This window comes from Homo sapiens, chromosome 9 (genome assembly GCF_000001405.40).
Source record: "Homo sapiens chromosome 9, GRCh38.p14 Primary Assembly".
NCBI lineage: Eukaryota > Metazoa > Chordata > Mammalia > Primates > Hominidae > Homo > Homo sapiens.
The window spans coordinates 32303304-32320781 of record NC_000009.12 but is presented as its reverse complement, the minus strand read 5'-3'; the positions used below and the strand labels follow the sequence as shown (position 1 = coordinate 32320781).

General features: G+C 38.1%; 1 long non-coding RNA gene across 4 annotated transcripts in view; it reads left to right on the top strand.

The window, feature by feature from the left end:
* Nucleotides 1–17478, top strand: part of LOC107987059 (uncharacterized) — a 69745-nt gene that overhangs the window by 31243 nt on the left and 21024 nt on the right. For 3 of the 4 annotated variants that reach the window (XR_007061447.1, XR_007061446.1, XR_007061445.1), the window contains exon 2: nt 1210–2939. This is a non-coding gene — a long non-coding RNA (uncharacterized LOC107987059). Of the gene's footprint in view, nt 1–1209; nt 2940–17478 lie in introns of those variants that run through there. The other variant, XR_001746645.2, reaches the window with a different exon arrangement.

Sequence of the window (17478 nt, the reverse complement as noted above, 5' to 3'; positions counted from 1 at the left end):
GAGAGAACTCCGTTGTGAACTCAGAAGACGAGGTGGGGGTCCCGGGAGAGTCAGGGCAGGTAAGGGAGAGACGACCCTGATTTTATCCTCCTCTAATAGTGACTCCATAGCTATACAGATATTGGATAGTGCCCTTCAGTGTTGATAACTGGGAGGGAGATTTGCTGACTCTATCTGGAAAGAGAGCAGTTGGGAAGATGTCCTGATTGGCTAGTAGGCCAAGTTCTATAATATTTCCTTTATCTAGATATCCCCAGTGGCTAGGACAGTGCCTACTATGCCGTCAATTCTAAATACATTGTGGTTGAGCTTTTACAATTATAAATTCCAGGGTTTGTGGGCACTATACTACATAAAATCATTTACCTTTTTCTTGCAGCTTGAATTGGGCCATACACTTTTTTGAAAAGTCTTAATTTAAAAAGATAGAAGCAAGCAGCCCACAGCTGCATTGGTTTTTCTCTAGGTTAGAAGCTTTCCTATAAACCATTTGATGAAGTAGCAGATGGCAAAGTTAGAACCTTTGTAGCTCTAAGACTTAATAGAAGCCATGATCAACTATGGATTGTCTTGTAACCCAAATTGATGCTTTTGTTGCACTCTGATGGACTTGTCACTTGTTCTGCCTCTTGATTAATTGTGACAAAAATCATTCTAATTATACATATTGAACAATAAATCTTTGGTCAATATCCTCTAGATATAATTTGTGTAACCGAATACCCTCTTTTGAGTGTTGCTTTCAGAGCTAAAGCGGGAGGGAAGAGATGGCTCTGACAAATTCAGGGCATTTTTGAATAAGCATGAATTGGATTATAATAGGCTGCGATGAGAGAGCTAGAATATGGTGGAATACTTTATATTCAGCAGAGCTCATCTGGGTCCTGGCAATCAGAAATTCTGGGACACAGATTTTCTTCACTAAAACTCTTAATTTATGCCCATAATAGGCTGATTAAGGATGTGGCAGTGGAGTGATATGATTATCAGCTCAGCTTCTTCAGACCGAAGTTATAGATCCCATGAGCCACATATTCTGTTTCTGTGTGATGATGCCTGGATGTGGGCCCTGTGTATGTACAGTGAGTGAATGGATGCCTCTCCGGTGGAAGGTATCTGAGATTAATAGAAAAGCCTGCCTTTTGTCAGGTATTATAATCAGGAAGATGAAAGTTTCCTCTGTAATACAGTTTTTGCTTCCACTTCCAGGATGCTGCAATTAACGGCCTGGACAGAGGATGGGGACATGAATAATGGTAGAGTCCAGCATTAGCACAACACTCCATTCATCACTGCTGAAGGGCAAATGCATAACCCTCAAAATGATCCTGGAAAGAGGAAAAGGGAGAGGAATTGCAAGTTCCATGGAACAGTGATTTACCATGCAGCAGAGGATGTGAGCATCTCCGAAATAGAAGGGTCCACATATTTTGAACTTTAACATATATAATGATACTTATAATGTGACTGTTACGGGCAGCTGATTTTTCATACAATTGACATGTGAGTATTTTCCAGGCAGGCATCTTATTTCCTGTGTATGTGCCCCCTATTTATGCAGGACCATCAACAGGACCAACATTGAGTAGAAATCAGTCACAGCAAACCACTTTCCTTTTTATTTCATGTACTCTGTACCCTCCTTTAATGGCAACATAATTGCATCATATCATTGGTTTGTAGTGTGGAGGCTGTGGGTCTGATTTTTAGTTTCCCAATCCGTGCAGAATATTCAGAAGAATAGAGGGTTGGAGACCTCTAGTTCAGGTCAAAATCAGTGTGAAAGGCTTGACTTTGGAAAGGGTAAAGAGAGTTCAATTTAAACTGAGTCTCCAGCTAGGGGCAGGGAGAGGAAAGAGGAGTTAGTCTCCCACAAGAGGAGACTAGCATAATCTTTGTGCCCTAATTAGGCATCCTTGGGCTTAGGGAATTACTAGGGGATACGGGAGTGTAATGCAGGAAAACCAAGGCAGAAGTCATGTCCGAGAGTCTGGATCAATCCTTCAGGGCAGGGGGTGGAGCAAGGGAAGAAAGGGGAGCTGTGCCAAGGGGTCTACCAGTGGGCCCAGGGCAGATCCCAAGTCCATAAGCAATAGGATCAGGTCCAGGTACCACCTTCTTGAAATCTGAGGCTGCTGCTGTACTTCCTGCCCCTGCTACCTTGGGCCTGGGGCTGTAAATGTCATCAGATAGTCCACCTGGAAGGGCCTGTGGAAAGCAAAATCAGAGAAACAAGGCAGGAGCTGGCCACTTGTGAAATTTTTCCTGGAAACTCTGTCATGGAATCATGTTTTAGATACCAGAAGGAAGGGCTGCTCTGACTAACTGACCATGAATCGGAGAAGAGGCCTGCGATGATCTAGGCAGTGGGTTATGGGAGAGGAATGGAAAACTGCAGAATGGATTCTCCAGCCCATTCAGCGCTCATACTACATGGGCATGTTCACAGACCTGCAGGCTTTGCCTTTGTCTGTCTCCCTGCTTTTGGAAGGGATGGCACAGCTTTGCCCCCTTTCCTGGAGGCACAGTAGTCTGACTTGAGTCTTTCGCTGTCTTCTGTATCCAACTCATTCATGAAATTATATGAGATAATTTCCAAATAAGTGACTTTTTTGGCTTATTTGCCCAATTGACTTAATTATTGCCGGTTTATTCTTCTTGTTTTGGATTCCTTGAGCTGAGAGAGTGAAAAAGGGAGTTTATTTAAGAAGATAAGGACAGATTAGGTTTTCAATTTGGTGGTATGATGCAGTCTGCTTTCTTAACTCTATTATGACCTATTTAGTGTTTGTTTTTCTCTTATTGTGGAAGTAACATATGCTGATTATAGAGATATAGAAAAAGATAAAAAGTATCCATTTCAATTGACCAATAATGTCCTCTCAGCAATTTGGTGTATATCATGTATTTTTAAATAAACAGATTGCTTTGTAAATACACTTTATATCTTACTGTTGTAACATTAAAAAAAAGGTGGTTAAAATGGCGAGCAAGTGCAGAACAGCAGCACTTGGAAAGTAAGCTGGGGATGGCAAAAGCCTCAATTTCTGTTTCCACAAAGCACTCTGTTCTCTTTGTTGATCACTGAGACCCAGAAGCTACCATCTCCAGTGGAACTGGAACCTTTGTTTTTCTTGATCTCTGCATCGTGTGGCTCAGCCCCGGTTGGAACTGAAGCTTGGAATAAAGCCACAGTGAGCTGGGTCACACTGTTTCTTAGACTTCCCCCCACAGTACCTTGTTTGGAGAGAATTATAACTGAAAGGGAAAAAATTCCCTCTGGCAAGAAACTTGGCTTAGAAATGCTCATTTGGAGAAGCTTATTATTATTATTATTTTTTGGTTTTGCTGTTTAAATAAGGTCACTGCTATAAATCAATGTTTGTGAGTGTTAGAGAAGACCAAGTAAATAAATAAAGCCCTACGTATTTATTGTAAACAGAAACACCCTAGAGGTTCTCCAGGGGAAGAGAGAGTGAGAGAAAGGTCACCATTTCTTGCATACAGAAAATTAACTGTTTCATTAGTTTAGATAGAAACACATTTTTTCTTTAAAATTAGTTATGAGGAAAATATTTCCAAGTTTGTGCCTCTTATTAGGTGTATGAAGTATCAAAAATATTAAGTACAACTAACAGCATTAGGACTTGTTCTCACCTCAACTCCATCATCTGAATAAAACCACTGAAAAAGAGAAAAACAGCTCCTGACGTAAGGAAACTGGCCTGATATTTACATCTAGTTCATAGTGTTTGCCTGTTGGACACAAATGATCTCATAGAACATCAACAACAGACCAAGGCACTCTGACTATAATGGAGTGAGAGAAAAAACAAGTGAGACAAGACAACTTCAAAATTTTGTCTAAGCACAGGCAAAACCAAATGACCCAAATACCAGACATCCTCCTCTCTTGGCTAACATGAGTGACTATCAAAGCTTTAGCCTCTATGTGTTCCTCTTGACTTATAGAGAAGATTCATTAGGATACTGATATGGTTTGGCTCTGTATCCTCACCCAAATCTCATCTTGTAGCTCCCAGAATTCCCACGTGTTATGGGAGGGACCCAGTGGGAGATAATTGAGTCATGAGGGCGGGTCTTTCCTGTGCTGTTCTCGTGATAATAAATAAGTCTCATGAGATCTGAAGGTTTTAAAAATGGGAGTTTCCCTGCACAAGTTCTCTTCTCTTGTCTGCTGCCATGTGAGATGTGCCTTTCACCTTCTGCTGTGATTGTGAGGCCTTCCCAGCCACATGGAACTGTAAGTCCAATAAACCTTGCTCTTTTGTAAATTGCCCAGCCTCAGGTATGTCTTTATTGACAGGGTGAAAATGAACTAATAGAGATACCCAGTCTAGAATTGTCTCTGTTTCCTGACAGTATCCAATTCATAGCAAAGTCCAACTCTCTTTAACGCCCCCAAAGTCACCTAACCCATGCCCAAATCCTATAATTAATCTTTTCTTATACTTTCTTACTGAGATGATTCCCCATGATGTGCATTCTCCCTGACTGCCATGAGCACCAAACTCAATTGGTCCAACTGTAGGTGTGTTTCTCATTGTCTTTGGTGGGAGGTCTTTGGTGGAAGGAAGTTTACTGGTTTCCCAAGAGCTAATCCTCCCAGCCTATCATCCTGAAAACAGAAACATGATTTGTGGCTAGTAAAGCCATCTTGGTCTTAAGAAAGATCGGCCTCACTCCTAACCCAGGATGACTTAAAAGTGGTCTTTGCAAATGTTAGGACTAGGGTGGGCATGGGAACTAAGTCCAATCAATGTGAACTGAGGGAAAATGGGTTTACTATGCTGTATGTTTAACCAGAAGTACATATTTTTAATCACTATATAACATTTAGTTGTGTGAAAGTCCTTAATTTTTGGAAATTTAAAACATTTCACTTATGGCAAAAGGTAAAAGCTGAGAAACCTAGTATGCTTTTACTTTCTATCTCTCACCTTATTAATTACATTTTAGGATACTAAAACATAATATAGCACTTTAGGTCCAGATTACTATTACTTCATATTTTATGTCATGTTGCTTTTTTCAAGGATTATTTTTGATATGCAGCCTTTTTATTAAACACATTCAAAGCAATATTTCCTTCTTCCCTTCTTCCCCCAACCCTTCCTTTTTTTCTTCTCTCCTTCTCTCTGTCTCTTACTCCTCCACCCACCTTCTCATTCTTGCTACATGGCTCACTAGCATTTCTTTTTAAACAATTTTAAATTTTAGTTTTTTTGGGGGTACATAGTAGGTGTATGTATTTATGGGTTACATGAGATATTTTGATACAGGCATGCAATGTGTAATAATCACATTATAGTAAATGGGGTATCCATCACATCAAGCATTTATCCTTTGTGTTACAAACAATCTAATTATATTCTTTTTTTTTTTTTTTTTTTTTTTTTTTTGAGACGGAGTCTCGCTCTGTCGCCCAGGCTGGAGTGCAGTGGCGGGATCTCGGCTCACTGCAAGCTCCGCCTCCCGGGTTCACGCCATTCTCCTGCCTCAGCCTCCCGAGTAGCTGGGACTACAGGCGCCCGCCACTACGCCCGGCTAATTTTTTGTATTTTTAGTAGAGACGGGGTTTCACCGTTTTAGCCGGGATTCTTTTAGTTATTTTAAAATGTATGATTAAATTATTCTTGACTTTAGTCATCCTGTTGTACTAGCAAATACTGGGTCTTAATCATTCTTTGTGACTATTATATATTTATTTATTTTACCAACTAACCATCCCCACTTCCCCCACTAAACCCCCACCACCCTTCCCAGTCTCTGGTAACCATCCTTCTACCATCTATCTCCATGAGTTCAATTGTTTTAATTTTTAGCTCCCACAAATAAGTGAGAACATGTGAAGTTTGTCTTTGTCTGCCTGGCTTTTTTCACTTAACACAATGACCTCTAGTTCCATCTATGTTGCTGCAAATGACAGGATCTCATTCTTTTTTTGTGGTGAATAGTACTCCATTTTGTATATGTACCACATTTTATTTATCCATTGTCTGTTGATGGGCACTTAGGTTGGTTACAAATCTTGGCTATTGTGAATTGTGCTGCAATAAACATGGGAGTGCAGATAACTATTCAATATACTGATTTCTTTTCTTTTGGGTATATATCTAAGAGTAGGATTGCTGGATCATACAGTAGCTCTATTTTTAGTTTTTTTGAGGAACTTCTAAATGTTTCCCATAGTGGTTGTACTAATTTACATTCCCACCAACAGTGTACTAGAGTCCCCTTTTCTCCACATCCTCACTAGCATTTGTTATTGCCTGCCTTTGAACATAAGTCATTTCAACTGAGATGAGATGATATCTCATTGTAGTTTCGATTTACATTTCTCTGATGATCCATGATGTTGAGCACCTTTAAATATACCTGTTTGCCATTTGTCTGTCTTCTTTTGAGAAATGTCTATCCAGATATTTTGCCCATCTTTCGATTGGATTATTAAATTATTTCCTATAGAGTTGTTTGAGCTCCTTATATATTCTGGTTATTAATCTCTTGTCAGATGGGTATTTTGAAAATATTTTCTCCCATTCTCTTTACTTTGTTGATTCCCTTGCTGTGCAGAAGCTTTTTAATTTGATGTGATCCCATCGTCCATTCTGGCTTTGGTTGTCTATGCTTGTGGGATATTACGCAAGAAATCTTTGCCCAGCTCTGTGTCCCAGAGAGTTTCCCCAATGTTTTCTTATAGTAGTTTTGTAGTTTGAGGTCTTAGACTTAAGTCTTTAATCCATTTTGATTGGATTTTTTGTATATGGAGAGAGATATAATCTAGTTTTATTCTTCTGCATATGGATATTTAGTTTTCCCAGCACCATTTATTGAAGAGACTGTCCTTTCCTCAGTGCATGTTCTTGGCGCCTTTGTAAAAAATGAGTTTACTGTAGGTGAATGAATTTATTTCTGGGTTCTCTATTCTGTCCGCTTGGTGTATGTGTCTGTTTTTATGCTAGTACCATTCTGTTTTGGTTACTATTATTCCGTAGTATAATTTGAAGTCAGATAATATGATTCCTCCAGTTTTGTTCTTTTTACTTAGTATAGCTTTGGCTCCTCTGGGTCTTTTGTGGTTCCATATAAATTTCAGGATTGTTTTTTTCTATTTCTATAAAAAATGTCATTGGTATTTTTATAGGGATCGCATTGAATCTGTGGATTGCTTTGGGTAGTATAGACATTTTAACAATATTGATTCTTCTGATCCATGAACATGGAATATCTTTTCAATTTTTTTTGTGCCCTCTTCAATTTCTTGCATCAATGTTTCATAGTTTTCATTGCAGAGAACTTTTACTTCTTTGGTTAATTCCTAGGAATTTAATTTTATTTGTGGCTATTGTAAATGGGATTACTTTTCTGATTTCTTTTTCAGACTGTTCACTTTTGGTGTATAGAAATGCTACTGATTTTTGTATGTTGATTTTGTATCCTGCAATTTTACTGAATTTGTTTATCATTTACGTGGTGGAGTCTTTAGTTTTTTTTCAAATATAAGATTATATCATCTGCAAACATGGATACTTTGATTCCTTCCTTTCCAATTTGGATGCCCTTTATTTCTTTCTCCTGTGTGATTGTTCAGTTAGAACTTCCAGTACTGTGTTTAATAATAGTGGTGAAAGTGGGCACCCTTGTAGTCTTCCAGATCTTAGAGAAAAATCTTACAGTTTTTCCCTATTCAGTATACTAGCTGTTGCTAGCTTTTGGGTTTTTTGTACATATGGTTTTTATTATGTTGAAGTATGCTCCTTCTAGACCCAGTTTTTTGAGGGTTTTTATGATGAAGGGATGTTGAATTTTATTACTTTTTTTTTTTGTCGAAGTCTTGCTTTGTTGCCCAGGCTGGAGTGCAGTGGTGTGATCTTGGCTCACTGTAACCTCCGCCTCCTGGGTTCACACCATTCTCCTGCCTCAGCCTCCTGAGTAGCTGGGACTACAGGTGCCTGCCACCACACCTGGCTAATTTTTTGTATTTTTAGTAGAGGTGGGGTTTCACCATGTTAGTCAGGATGGTCTCGATCTCCTGACCTCGTGATCCACCTACCTTGGCCTCCCAAAGTGCTGGGATTACAGGCCTGAGCCACCGTGACTGGCCCTTTATCAAATACTTTTTAAAGCATTATTTGAAATGACCATATGGTTTTTGTCATTCATTCTGTTGAGATGATGTATCACATTGATTGATTTGTTTGTGTAGCAACCTCCTTGTATTCCTGGTTTTTTTTTTTTTTTTTTTTTTTTTTTTTTTTTGAGACAGAGTCTCACTTTGTCACACAGGCTGGAGTGTGGTGGCAAGAACAGGTCTGGTGCTGATGAAATTCCTCAGCTTTTGTTTGTCTGGGAAAGTCTTTATTTCTCCTACATGTTAGAAGGATATTTTCACTGGGTATACTATTCTAGGGTAAAAGTTTTTTTTCTTTCAGCCCTTTAAATATGTCATGACACTCTCTCCTGGCCTGTTAAGTTTCCACTGAAAAGTCTGCTGCTGAATGTATTGGAGCTGCATTGCATGTTATTTCTTTGTTTTCTCTTGCTGCTTTTAGGATCCTTTCTTCATCCATATTAAATCTATTCTATAACCACCTTATATTTGGACATTGATATCTTTCTCTAGATTTGGGAAGTTCTCTGTTATTATCCCTTTGAATAAACTTTCTACCCCATTTCTCTACCTCCTCTTTAATGCCAATAACTCTCTTAGGTATGCCCTTTTGAAGTTATTTTCTAGATCTTGTTGGTGTGCTTTATTGTTTTTATACTTTTGTCTTTTGTCTCTTCTGACTGTATTTTCAAATAGTCTATCTTCAAGCTCTTTAAGTCTTTTTCTTTTGCTTGATCAATTCTGCTATTAAGAGACTGTGATGCATTCTTCAGTATGTCAGTTGCATTTTTCAACTCCAGCATTTCTGTTTGATTCTTTTTAATTATTTAAATCTTTTCTTACGTTTATCTGATAGAATTCTGAATTCCGTCTCTGTGTTATCTTGAATTTCTTTGAGTTTCTGCCACACAGCTATTTTGAATTCTTTGTCTGAAGGGTCACATATCTGTGTTTCTCCGGGGTTGGTCCCTGGTGCCTTATTTAGTTCATTTGGTGAGGTCATATTTTCCTAGATGGTCTTGATGCTTGTGGATGTTTGTTGGTGTCTGGGCATTAAAGAGTTAGGTATTTATTGTAGTCTTCACAGTTGGGCTTGTTTGTACCCATCCTTCTTGGAAAGGTTTTCCATGTATTGAAAGGACTTGGGTGTTGTGATCTAAGCTGTATCTGCTTTAGGGGACACCCCAGCCAGGTCTTGTGGACTTGTAGAGGTTCCACCTTGGTGGTCTTGGATAAGATCCAGAAGAATTATCCGGATTACCAGACAGAGACTCTTGTTCTCTTCTGTTACTTTCTCCTAAACAAAAAGAGTCTCACTCTTTGTGCTGAGTTGCCTGTAGCTGGAGGTTGGGTGACACAAGCACCCCTGTGGTCACCACCAGTGGGACTGTGCTGGGTTAGACCTGAAGCAAGCATAGCACTGGGTCTCACCCAAGGCCTGCTATAACTACTACCTAACTATTGCCTATTCACTCAGGACCTAGGACTCTACAATCATCAGGTAGTGAAGCCAGCCAGGCTTCTGTCCTTCCCTCCAGAGTGGTGAGTTCTTCCAGGTCCTGGGCAGGTCCAGAGATGTCATCTGGGAGCCAGGGACTGGAGTTAAAAACCTTAGAAATCTACCTGGTGTGCTATTATATGGTAGCTGAACTGGCACTCAAACCACCAGACACAGTCCTTCCTGCTTTTTCCTCCCTTTTCCACAGGGAGAGAAACCTCACCCTGTGGCCACCACCACCACGGGGCCATGGGGAGTACTACCAGGCTACCACCTGTGTTCACTTAAGGCCCAAGGGCTCTTTAGTCAGCTTATGACATATACGGCCTGGCCTGGGACTCACTCTTTAGGCAGTGGACTCCCCTCTGGCCCAGGGCAGGTCCAGAAAGGCCATGAAAGAGCCAAAGCCTGGAATCAGAGACTCTAAGAGCCTGCTTGAGGCTTTACTCCACTGTGTCAAGCTGGTACCTGGTTTTTGGTTCTTTTCTGTATAGATAGTTGTGAAATTTGGTGTTACTGTTGGGTGGTGGGGGTCAGTTGGTGGGGCCTTCTCTTCAGCCATTTTGCTTTGCTTCACTAGCATTTCTATAATGCTTTATATTTCTCCCCTTCCATATGAACAGTAACTCTGGGTTCCAATATTCTTTCCTTGAAACTTTCTTGTTGTTGCGTCTTTGTCTTCTGACATACTGTTTTGGGAAATAAGTCTCATGGTAGCCTGATATATTTTTCTTAAATTTATATTTTAAGAATAATTTTAATCAAAATATATAAAAAAACTCTCTTGGAAAATCCATCAGATACTTGAATAAATCATAGTCAGCTGAGTCATTGATGACACTTTCAAGAAAAGGTAACAAGATATATTATTTCAAATGCTGTATAATTCCACAACTAATCCTCACCAACATTTGGTATTGTCAGTCTTTTTAATTTTAGTCATTTTAATGGGTAGGTAGTGGTATCTCCTTGTGATTTTAATCTGCATTTTCCTGATGACTAATGCTGTTGAACATCTTTTCATATGCTCAGTGGCCATTCCTATAACTTCTTTTGTGAAATGTCTGTTTAACTCTTTCACCATTTTTTTTGGCTACAGTTGGATTTTATTTTTTGTTTCCAATGTCCTTTTTAATGTTACAGTCAGCATTCTATTGGACTTTTTAATGACAGAAATATATTAAATTTTATTTTTGGCAGAATCTTAATATCTCTTGAGTATCATTATTAGCCCAGAATCCTATAAGTCTAGTTTGGATTATTTTACTCTCCAAGTTTTACCTTGCATTTGTTTATAGTGAAATACTTAAAAAGTTTCAATAGCTTTTGGGGTACAAGTGGTTTTGGTTACATTAATGAACTCTATAATGGTGAATTCTGAGAGTTTAGTGCACCTGTCAGCCAAGCAGTGTACACTGTACCCAATATGTAGTCTTTTTTATCTTTCTCCCCTCTCCCACCCTCCCTGAGTCCCCAAAGTCCATTATATCATTCTGTATATCTGTGCTTCCTCACAGCTTAGCTCCCACTTACTAAGAAGATATGGTATTTGGTTTTCTGTATTTGGTATATGGTGAATTCTTATGATTTATCTATATATCTGGCTCTTTTTGTGAGTCCATGAACTTTGGTCCCAATTATGTCAGATAAAAAGAATTCTACAGCATCTGAAGGAATTTGATAATGTAACTGAGGTGAATCTGGCAACTACCTTTGAGGTAGGTTAATTACCCCATAAATGTAGATGAGCACATTGGGATGCAGAGGGATTATTGCCCAATATATATACATTATATGGAAAACTCCAATGGAGAACAAAGCAGTATCTGCCTCAATGTGACCAGTTATTTTCTTCCTCTCTCTGGAATTTGTTGTTAAAAGTCTTTTACCAGTAATAAAAGCCATCTATGACAAACCCACAGCCAACATCAAACTGAATGAAGAAAAGTTGAAAGCATTTCCCCTGAGAACTGGAGCAAGACAAGGATGCCCACTTTCACCACTTCTATTCAACATAGTACTGGAAGTCCTAGCCAGATCAATCAGACAAAAGAAAGAAAGGACATCCAAATTGGAAAACAGGAAGTCAAACTGTCACTGTTTTCTGATAATATGATTTCATACCTAGAAAAACCTAAAGACTCATCAAAAAAGCCCCTAGATCTGATAAATTCAGTAAAGTTTCTGGAATCAAAATCAATGTACACAAATCAGTAGCACTGCTATACACCAACAATGACCAAGCTGAGAATCAAATTAAGAACTCAATCCTTTCACAGCAGCTGCAAAACAAAACAAAACAAAACAAAATACATAGGAATATACTTAACCAAGGAGTCTCTCTCTGTGCTGAGAGAGAGTCTCTTAGGAGGCGAAAGATCTCCACAAGGAAGACTACAAAACACTGCTGAAAGAAATCCTAGATGACACAAACAAATGAAAACACATTTCATGCTCATGGATGAGTAGAATCAATATTGTGAATATGACCATACTGCCAAAAGCAATCTACAAATTCAGTGCAATTCCCATTAAAATAGCATCATCATTTTTCACAGAATTAGAAAAAAAATTCTGAAATTTATGTGGAACAAAAAAGAGCCCACATAGGCAAAGCAATACTAAGCAAAAAGAACACATATGGAGGCATCACATTACTTGACTTCAAAGTATACTACAAAGCTATAGTTACCAAAACAGCATGGTACAGTTTGACTTCCTCATTTCCCAATTGCATACCCTTTATTTCTTTCTCCTGACTGACTGCCCTGGCCAGAACTTCCAACACTATGTTGAATAGGAGTGGTGAGAGAGGGCATCCCTGTCTTGTGCCAGTTTTCAAAGGGAATGCTTCCAGTTTTTGCCCATTCAGTATGATATTGGCTGTGGGTTTGTCATAAATAGCTCTTATTATTTTGAGATATGTCCCATCAATACCTAATTTATTGAGAGTTTTTAGCATGAAGGGCTGTTGAATTTTGTCAAAGGCCTCTTCTGCATCTATTGAGATAATCAATGTTGAACCAGCCTTGCATCCCAGGGATGAAGCCCACTTGATCATGGTGGATAAGCTTTTTGATGTGCTGCTGGATTCGGTTTGCCAGAATTTTACTGAGGATTTTTGCATCGACGTTCATCAGGGATATTGGTCTAAAATTCTCTTTTTTTGTTGTGTCTCTGCCAGGCTTTGGTATCAGGATGATGCTGGCCTCATAAAATGAGTTAGGGAGGATTCTCTCTTTTTCTGTTGATTGGAATAGTTTCAGAAGGAATGGTACCAGCTCCTCTTTGTACCTCTGGTAGAATTTGGCTGTGAAGCCATCTGGTCCTGGACTTTTTTTGGTTGGTAGGCTATTAATTATTGCCTCAATTTCAGAACCTGTTATTGGTCTTGTATACAATTTCTGATTGCCAGGGAGACTGTATATTTTGAAGTTCCATTTTGTTGTTCAGGATCAAAGCTATAGTATATATGCTCTGATATTTCCAAGAGCTTTTATAGGATGAACAGATTTGTTTGTCCTCTGCACAATAATAGACCAATGCAGTGAGACAGCAAGGTTTGCAGCAGAAGAAGAATTTACTGATCACAGGTCACCAAGTGAGGAGATGTGAGAAGGCCCTCAAATCCATCTTCCCAGAGAGTCTTGGCCTGAGATTTTTAAGGGGATTGTGGAGGGCAAGGGGCTGGAAAATTGGAATTGTTGATAGGTCAGAGCAAGAGGGATGAAATCATCAGATGTGCAAACTGCATTCTCTGGGCTGGGCAGTGTGGCTCACGCCTGTAATCCCAGCACTTTGGGAGGCCGAGGTGGGCGGATCACGAGGTCAGGAGATCGAGACCATCCTGGCTAATATGGTGAAACCCTGTCTCTACTAAAAATACAAAAAAATTAGCTGGGCATGGTGGCGGGCGCCTGGAGGCTGAGGCAGGAGAATGGCATGAACCTGGGAGGCGGAGCTTGCAGTGAGCCGAGATCGTGCCACTGCACTCCAGCCTGGGCGACAGAGCGAGACTCCGTCTCAAGATAAACAAAAAAACAAAAACAAAAGAAAACAAAAAAAAAAACCTGCATTCTCTGGTGAGTCAGTTCCTTGTGGGGTTCTTCAGATCAGCTGATGTCAGTAGTTTCACTGGTATGTAGAACCTGAAAGAATATCTCAAAGGGAAAACAATGTTTTATAATGTTCGAGTTGTTATCCACAGAGCAGTTAAAGGGAATTATTACTTAGGTTCCATGTGATTCTAGAACAATAGGCACTAAACAACTATGAGGAAGCAGGTCAGAGAGCAAGCTGATCTAATGATTAATGCTGAATGTGCTAGAAGCTTGGTTTATTTTTGTTTCTCCCCCTCCCTTATTCTCTGATTAATTTTATAAAGTTTATAGGGATGGTTTCAGAGCCTCACAGGCAGCTTCTCCCTGTGCTCATGAGTCCAGGGGCAAAGGGGAAGGTCATGCACTATATTCTCTGTCCATTTCTCAGATGTTTTTTAGGTGCCACACAAAACTCCTCCTTTCTTAATCAGTCAAGAACAACAACAACAAAAAACACTCACTTGCAAATTGATTTATGCAAATTACTTCCCTTGGCCTCCCACTGTTTTACCAGACATTTGCAGATAGATGTGTTTGGATCTCAGTTTGGGCCCATTTGTTAATTAGTAAAACATTCATCATGCTCACATGCATATGGGTTTCTGATGATTTTGGTTCACTGTCAAAATAAAAAACCTTACCCCTAAATTAAAAGGATCCTTATGAAATATTAAAGCTGTTTTAATGAGTTTTCACTTAATCACTTTTCATGTGGGCCAGGTTTGGTAAATGTCAAGGGTACTAGTTATAGGGATTTTGAATGACCCTCAATGGCTCTCTGAATTTGGGCAGAACCCATCTGGCTATTTGAAGATTTCAGCATATGGGCCATTGCATATCCAGTAATCACTTGATAGACTCAAATTATAACTAGCATTCTCATCACTCAAAGGTCCTGGTTTTCCATTGGTTCTTTGTAGTTGGCAGTAAACCTCACAGCAGATGTTTTTTTTTCTTTGGCTTTGATGCATGTGAGGTAGGAGAAGAGGATAAATCTGGCTTTTTTTGGTGAATCTTCATGATCTTTAGTCAAGAAGAAAAAGACCAACTACTTATGAAAAACAGTGTAGACTCTCCACAGTATAAAGCTCGTTTGAGTAAGTGGAAAATGAATATGTAAGAAATTACATCAAAAACTACAATTAAAAGGAATGATCTAATCTCAGCAGAGAACAGTTGATGTTTTGGAGATTTTTGTCTTTGTTTCACTTTATGAGATACCAGAAAGTTCATTTTTATGCATGCAAAGGAGTGTATCACTCATATGCCATTATTCTCTGTGTCTGTGTCTGGTATCTCCTGATGCCCAAACCACATGGAATGCTTTTAAGATAGAGTCTAAAAAATTTAGACACTTGCTGACTTGTAATTAACAATCAAGTGCTGTTATATTTTGAGAATCTTATTGCAATGACACAGGGCTCTCCTTATGGTCTGCAGTCACTTGTGTTATAATAGTATCTCATCTTATTAAAAATTGACAGTGTTTCTGCATGAATACTGTTGAGTGTTCCAATAGTTTGGTAAGGAAGATAGAGCAGATATTAATACATTTTTCTATGTAAATAAGAAAATGAAGAGTCTATCATGAATTGTGAAGGCTCTGAGATTTTACTTGTGAACTAACAGGTTAGCTTGTTACTGCGTTCTGGAAGCTGGCAGAAGACATGACATTTTCATGCCTTCATTTATGAAATTGGGATATTAGGGTCCTTATGAAGATTAAATAAAAATACATTTATTATTATTATTTTTAATAAAAATACATTTAAAGAACACAAGGAAACCTGACATTTCGTAGGCAATCAATAAATATAAACTACTATTATTATATGTTTTTATTTAGGCCATCTAAAGTGCTTTTTTGGAATGGGGGATAATATATAAAATAAGAATATTTTTAAAAACATAACCTCCTTGAAGTTATTATAGTGTGATGCTAATAGTGTCTTCTACTTTTATGATTTTTGAATTAAAACATGAAATTCCAGAAATAACTGAGGAATGCTCAATTATTGATTGTAATGCTATATCCATAAAAATAATTATTCTCTGAATATATTATATCCAATTTAAAAATAAAATTTGTTGCAATTTTCTTTTTACAAGAGCAATTGCAGTCATTTCTTGATATATGCAGGGGATTGGTTCCAGGACCCCCATGTATATCAAAATCCACACATACTCAAGTCCTGCAGTTGATCCTGTGGAATCCATGTATAGGAAAAGTCAGTCCTTTGTATGCATGAGTTTTGCATCATGCAAATTCTGTATTTTCCCTTCCCTGTTTGTTTGAAAAATATCTGCATATAAGCAGACCCATGCAGTTAAAACCCTGTTGTTCAAAGGTCAAAGTACTTTATTGATTTAACATTTGGGAGCTCTTATTTTGTATCAGCAATGTGCTCTTTCTGAGGGCACCACTGTGAAGAAAATGTAGCCCCTCCGCAAGGAGCCCACAGTCTAGTAGAAAATACTGGGAGATGAACAGATTAGTATTTTTCAGAATAAGAAAACTGGAAGACACATAAAAACATAAGGAAAGAAAAATCATACATAACCTCACTTATTCTTCAAATTTTGATTTTTTTCTTCCAGTCCTTTTTCTTATGTGGGTATTTTTAACATATATATCATATGTATGATTTGTCTACTGTTTTTTCTTACCATTGTATTGTGTGCATTTACTCATATAATTAAATAATTTTAGAAAACATGATTTGACTGGCTGGTATTATATATCACATATCACAATTAATTTCACTGTCATTCCCTTTGTTGTAACTTTATGTTTCTAGTTTCTCACTATTATAGCTAAAACTTGATAAATATTTTCTATATAAATCTTTGTGTGAATTTCTGATTTTTTCTGCAGCATAATAACTTTCTAAAATAAGTAGAAATGGCATATAAATATCAAGACATGGATTACTATGTTTTTCTTTTTAATTTTAGATTTAGTGGGTACATGTGCAGGTTTGTTACTAGGGTGTATTGCATGATGCTGAGGTTTGAACTTCTATTGACCCTTTCACCCAAATAGTGAACACAGTACCCAATAGGTAGTTTTTCAACCCTTGGTCCGCTCCCTCCCTCCCCTCTTTCGAGTTCCAGTGCTTATTGTTCTTATGAATGACCACTTTAAAGGTGTGTAATAGATATTGCCTAATTCCTTGTAGAAAGTTTGTACCAACTTACACTATCAATAGTATAAGAAAATGCAAATTATGCTACATTCCCAATACTAGTTTCATTTTATTTTGCCTATTTTATAGGTAAAAATATAAATCATAGTTTAAGTTTTCATTTCTTTGGGCACTAATAAGGGTGAATAGTTTCTGTTGATTTGTGTTTTCGTTTTAGTTATTTGAATAAAATTGAGGTTTTCATACCTTTTTTGACCTGCTGAATTGCCTCTTTTGTTCTTTGTCAATTTTTTATTGTCATATTCTTTTTTTCTTATTGAAATTTGTGTAGTAAGAACGTTCTTCCCATTTTCTTTTTTCTAGAATGCAGAGGGAATAAAGGAATAGAAATTCAGAGAGAAGATGTAAGAGAGTGTGTAGGCTCTGAGAAAAAGAAGAAGAATGTCTGTAAGGCAGCTGCTATTCTTATCCCATTATACAGATGAAAGAAAGGACACTTATAGAATCTAACCTTTTGTAATTGTTGTAGTTGAGTTTACTTGGAGGTAGCCAGTAAATCTCAGGAGTCGGATTTAGATGTTTAGGATGCTAAAGTCTGTA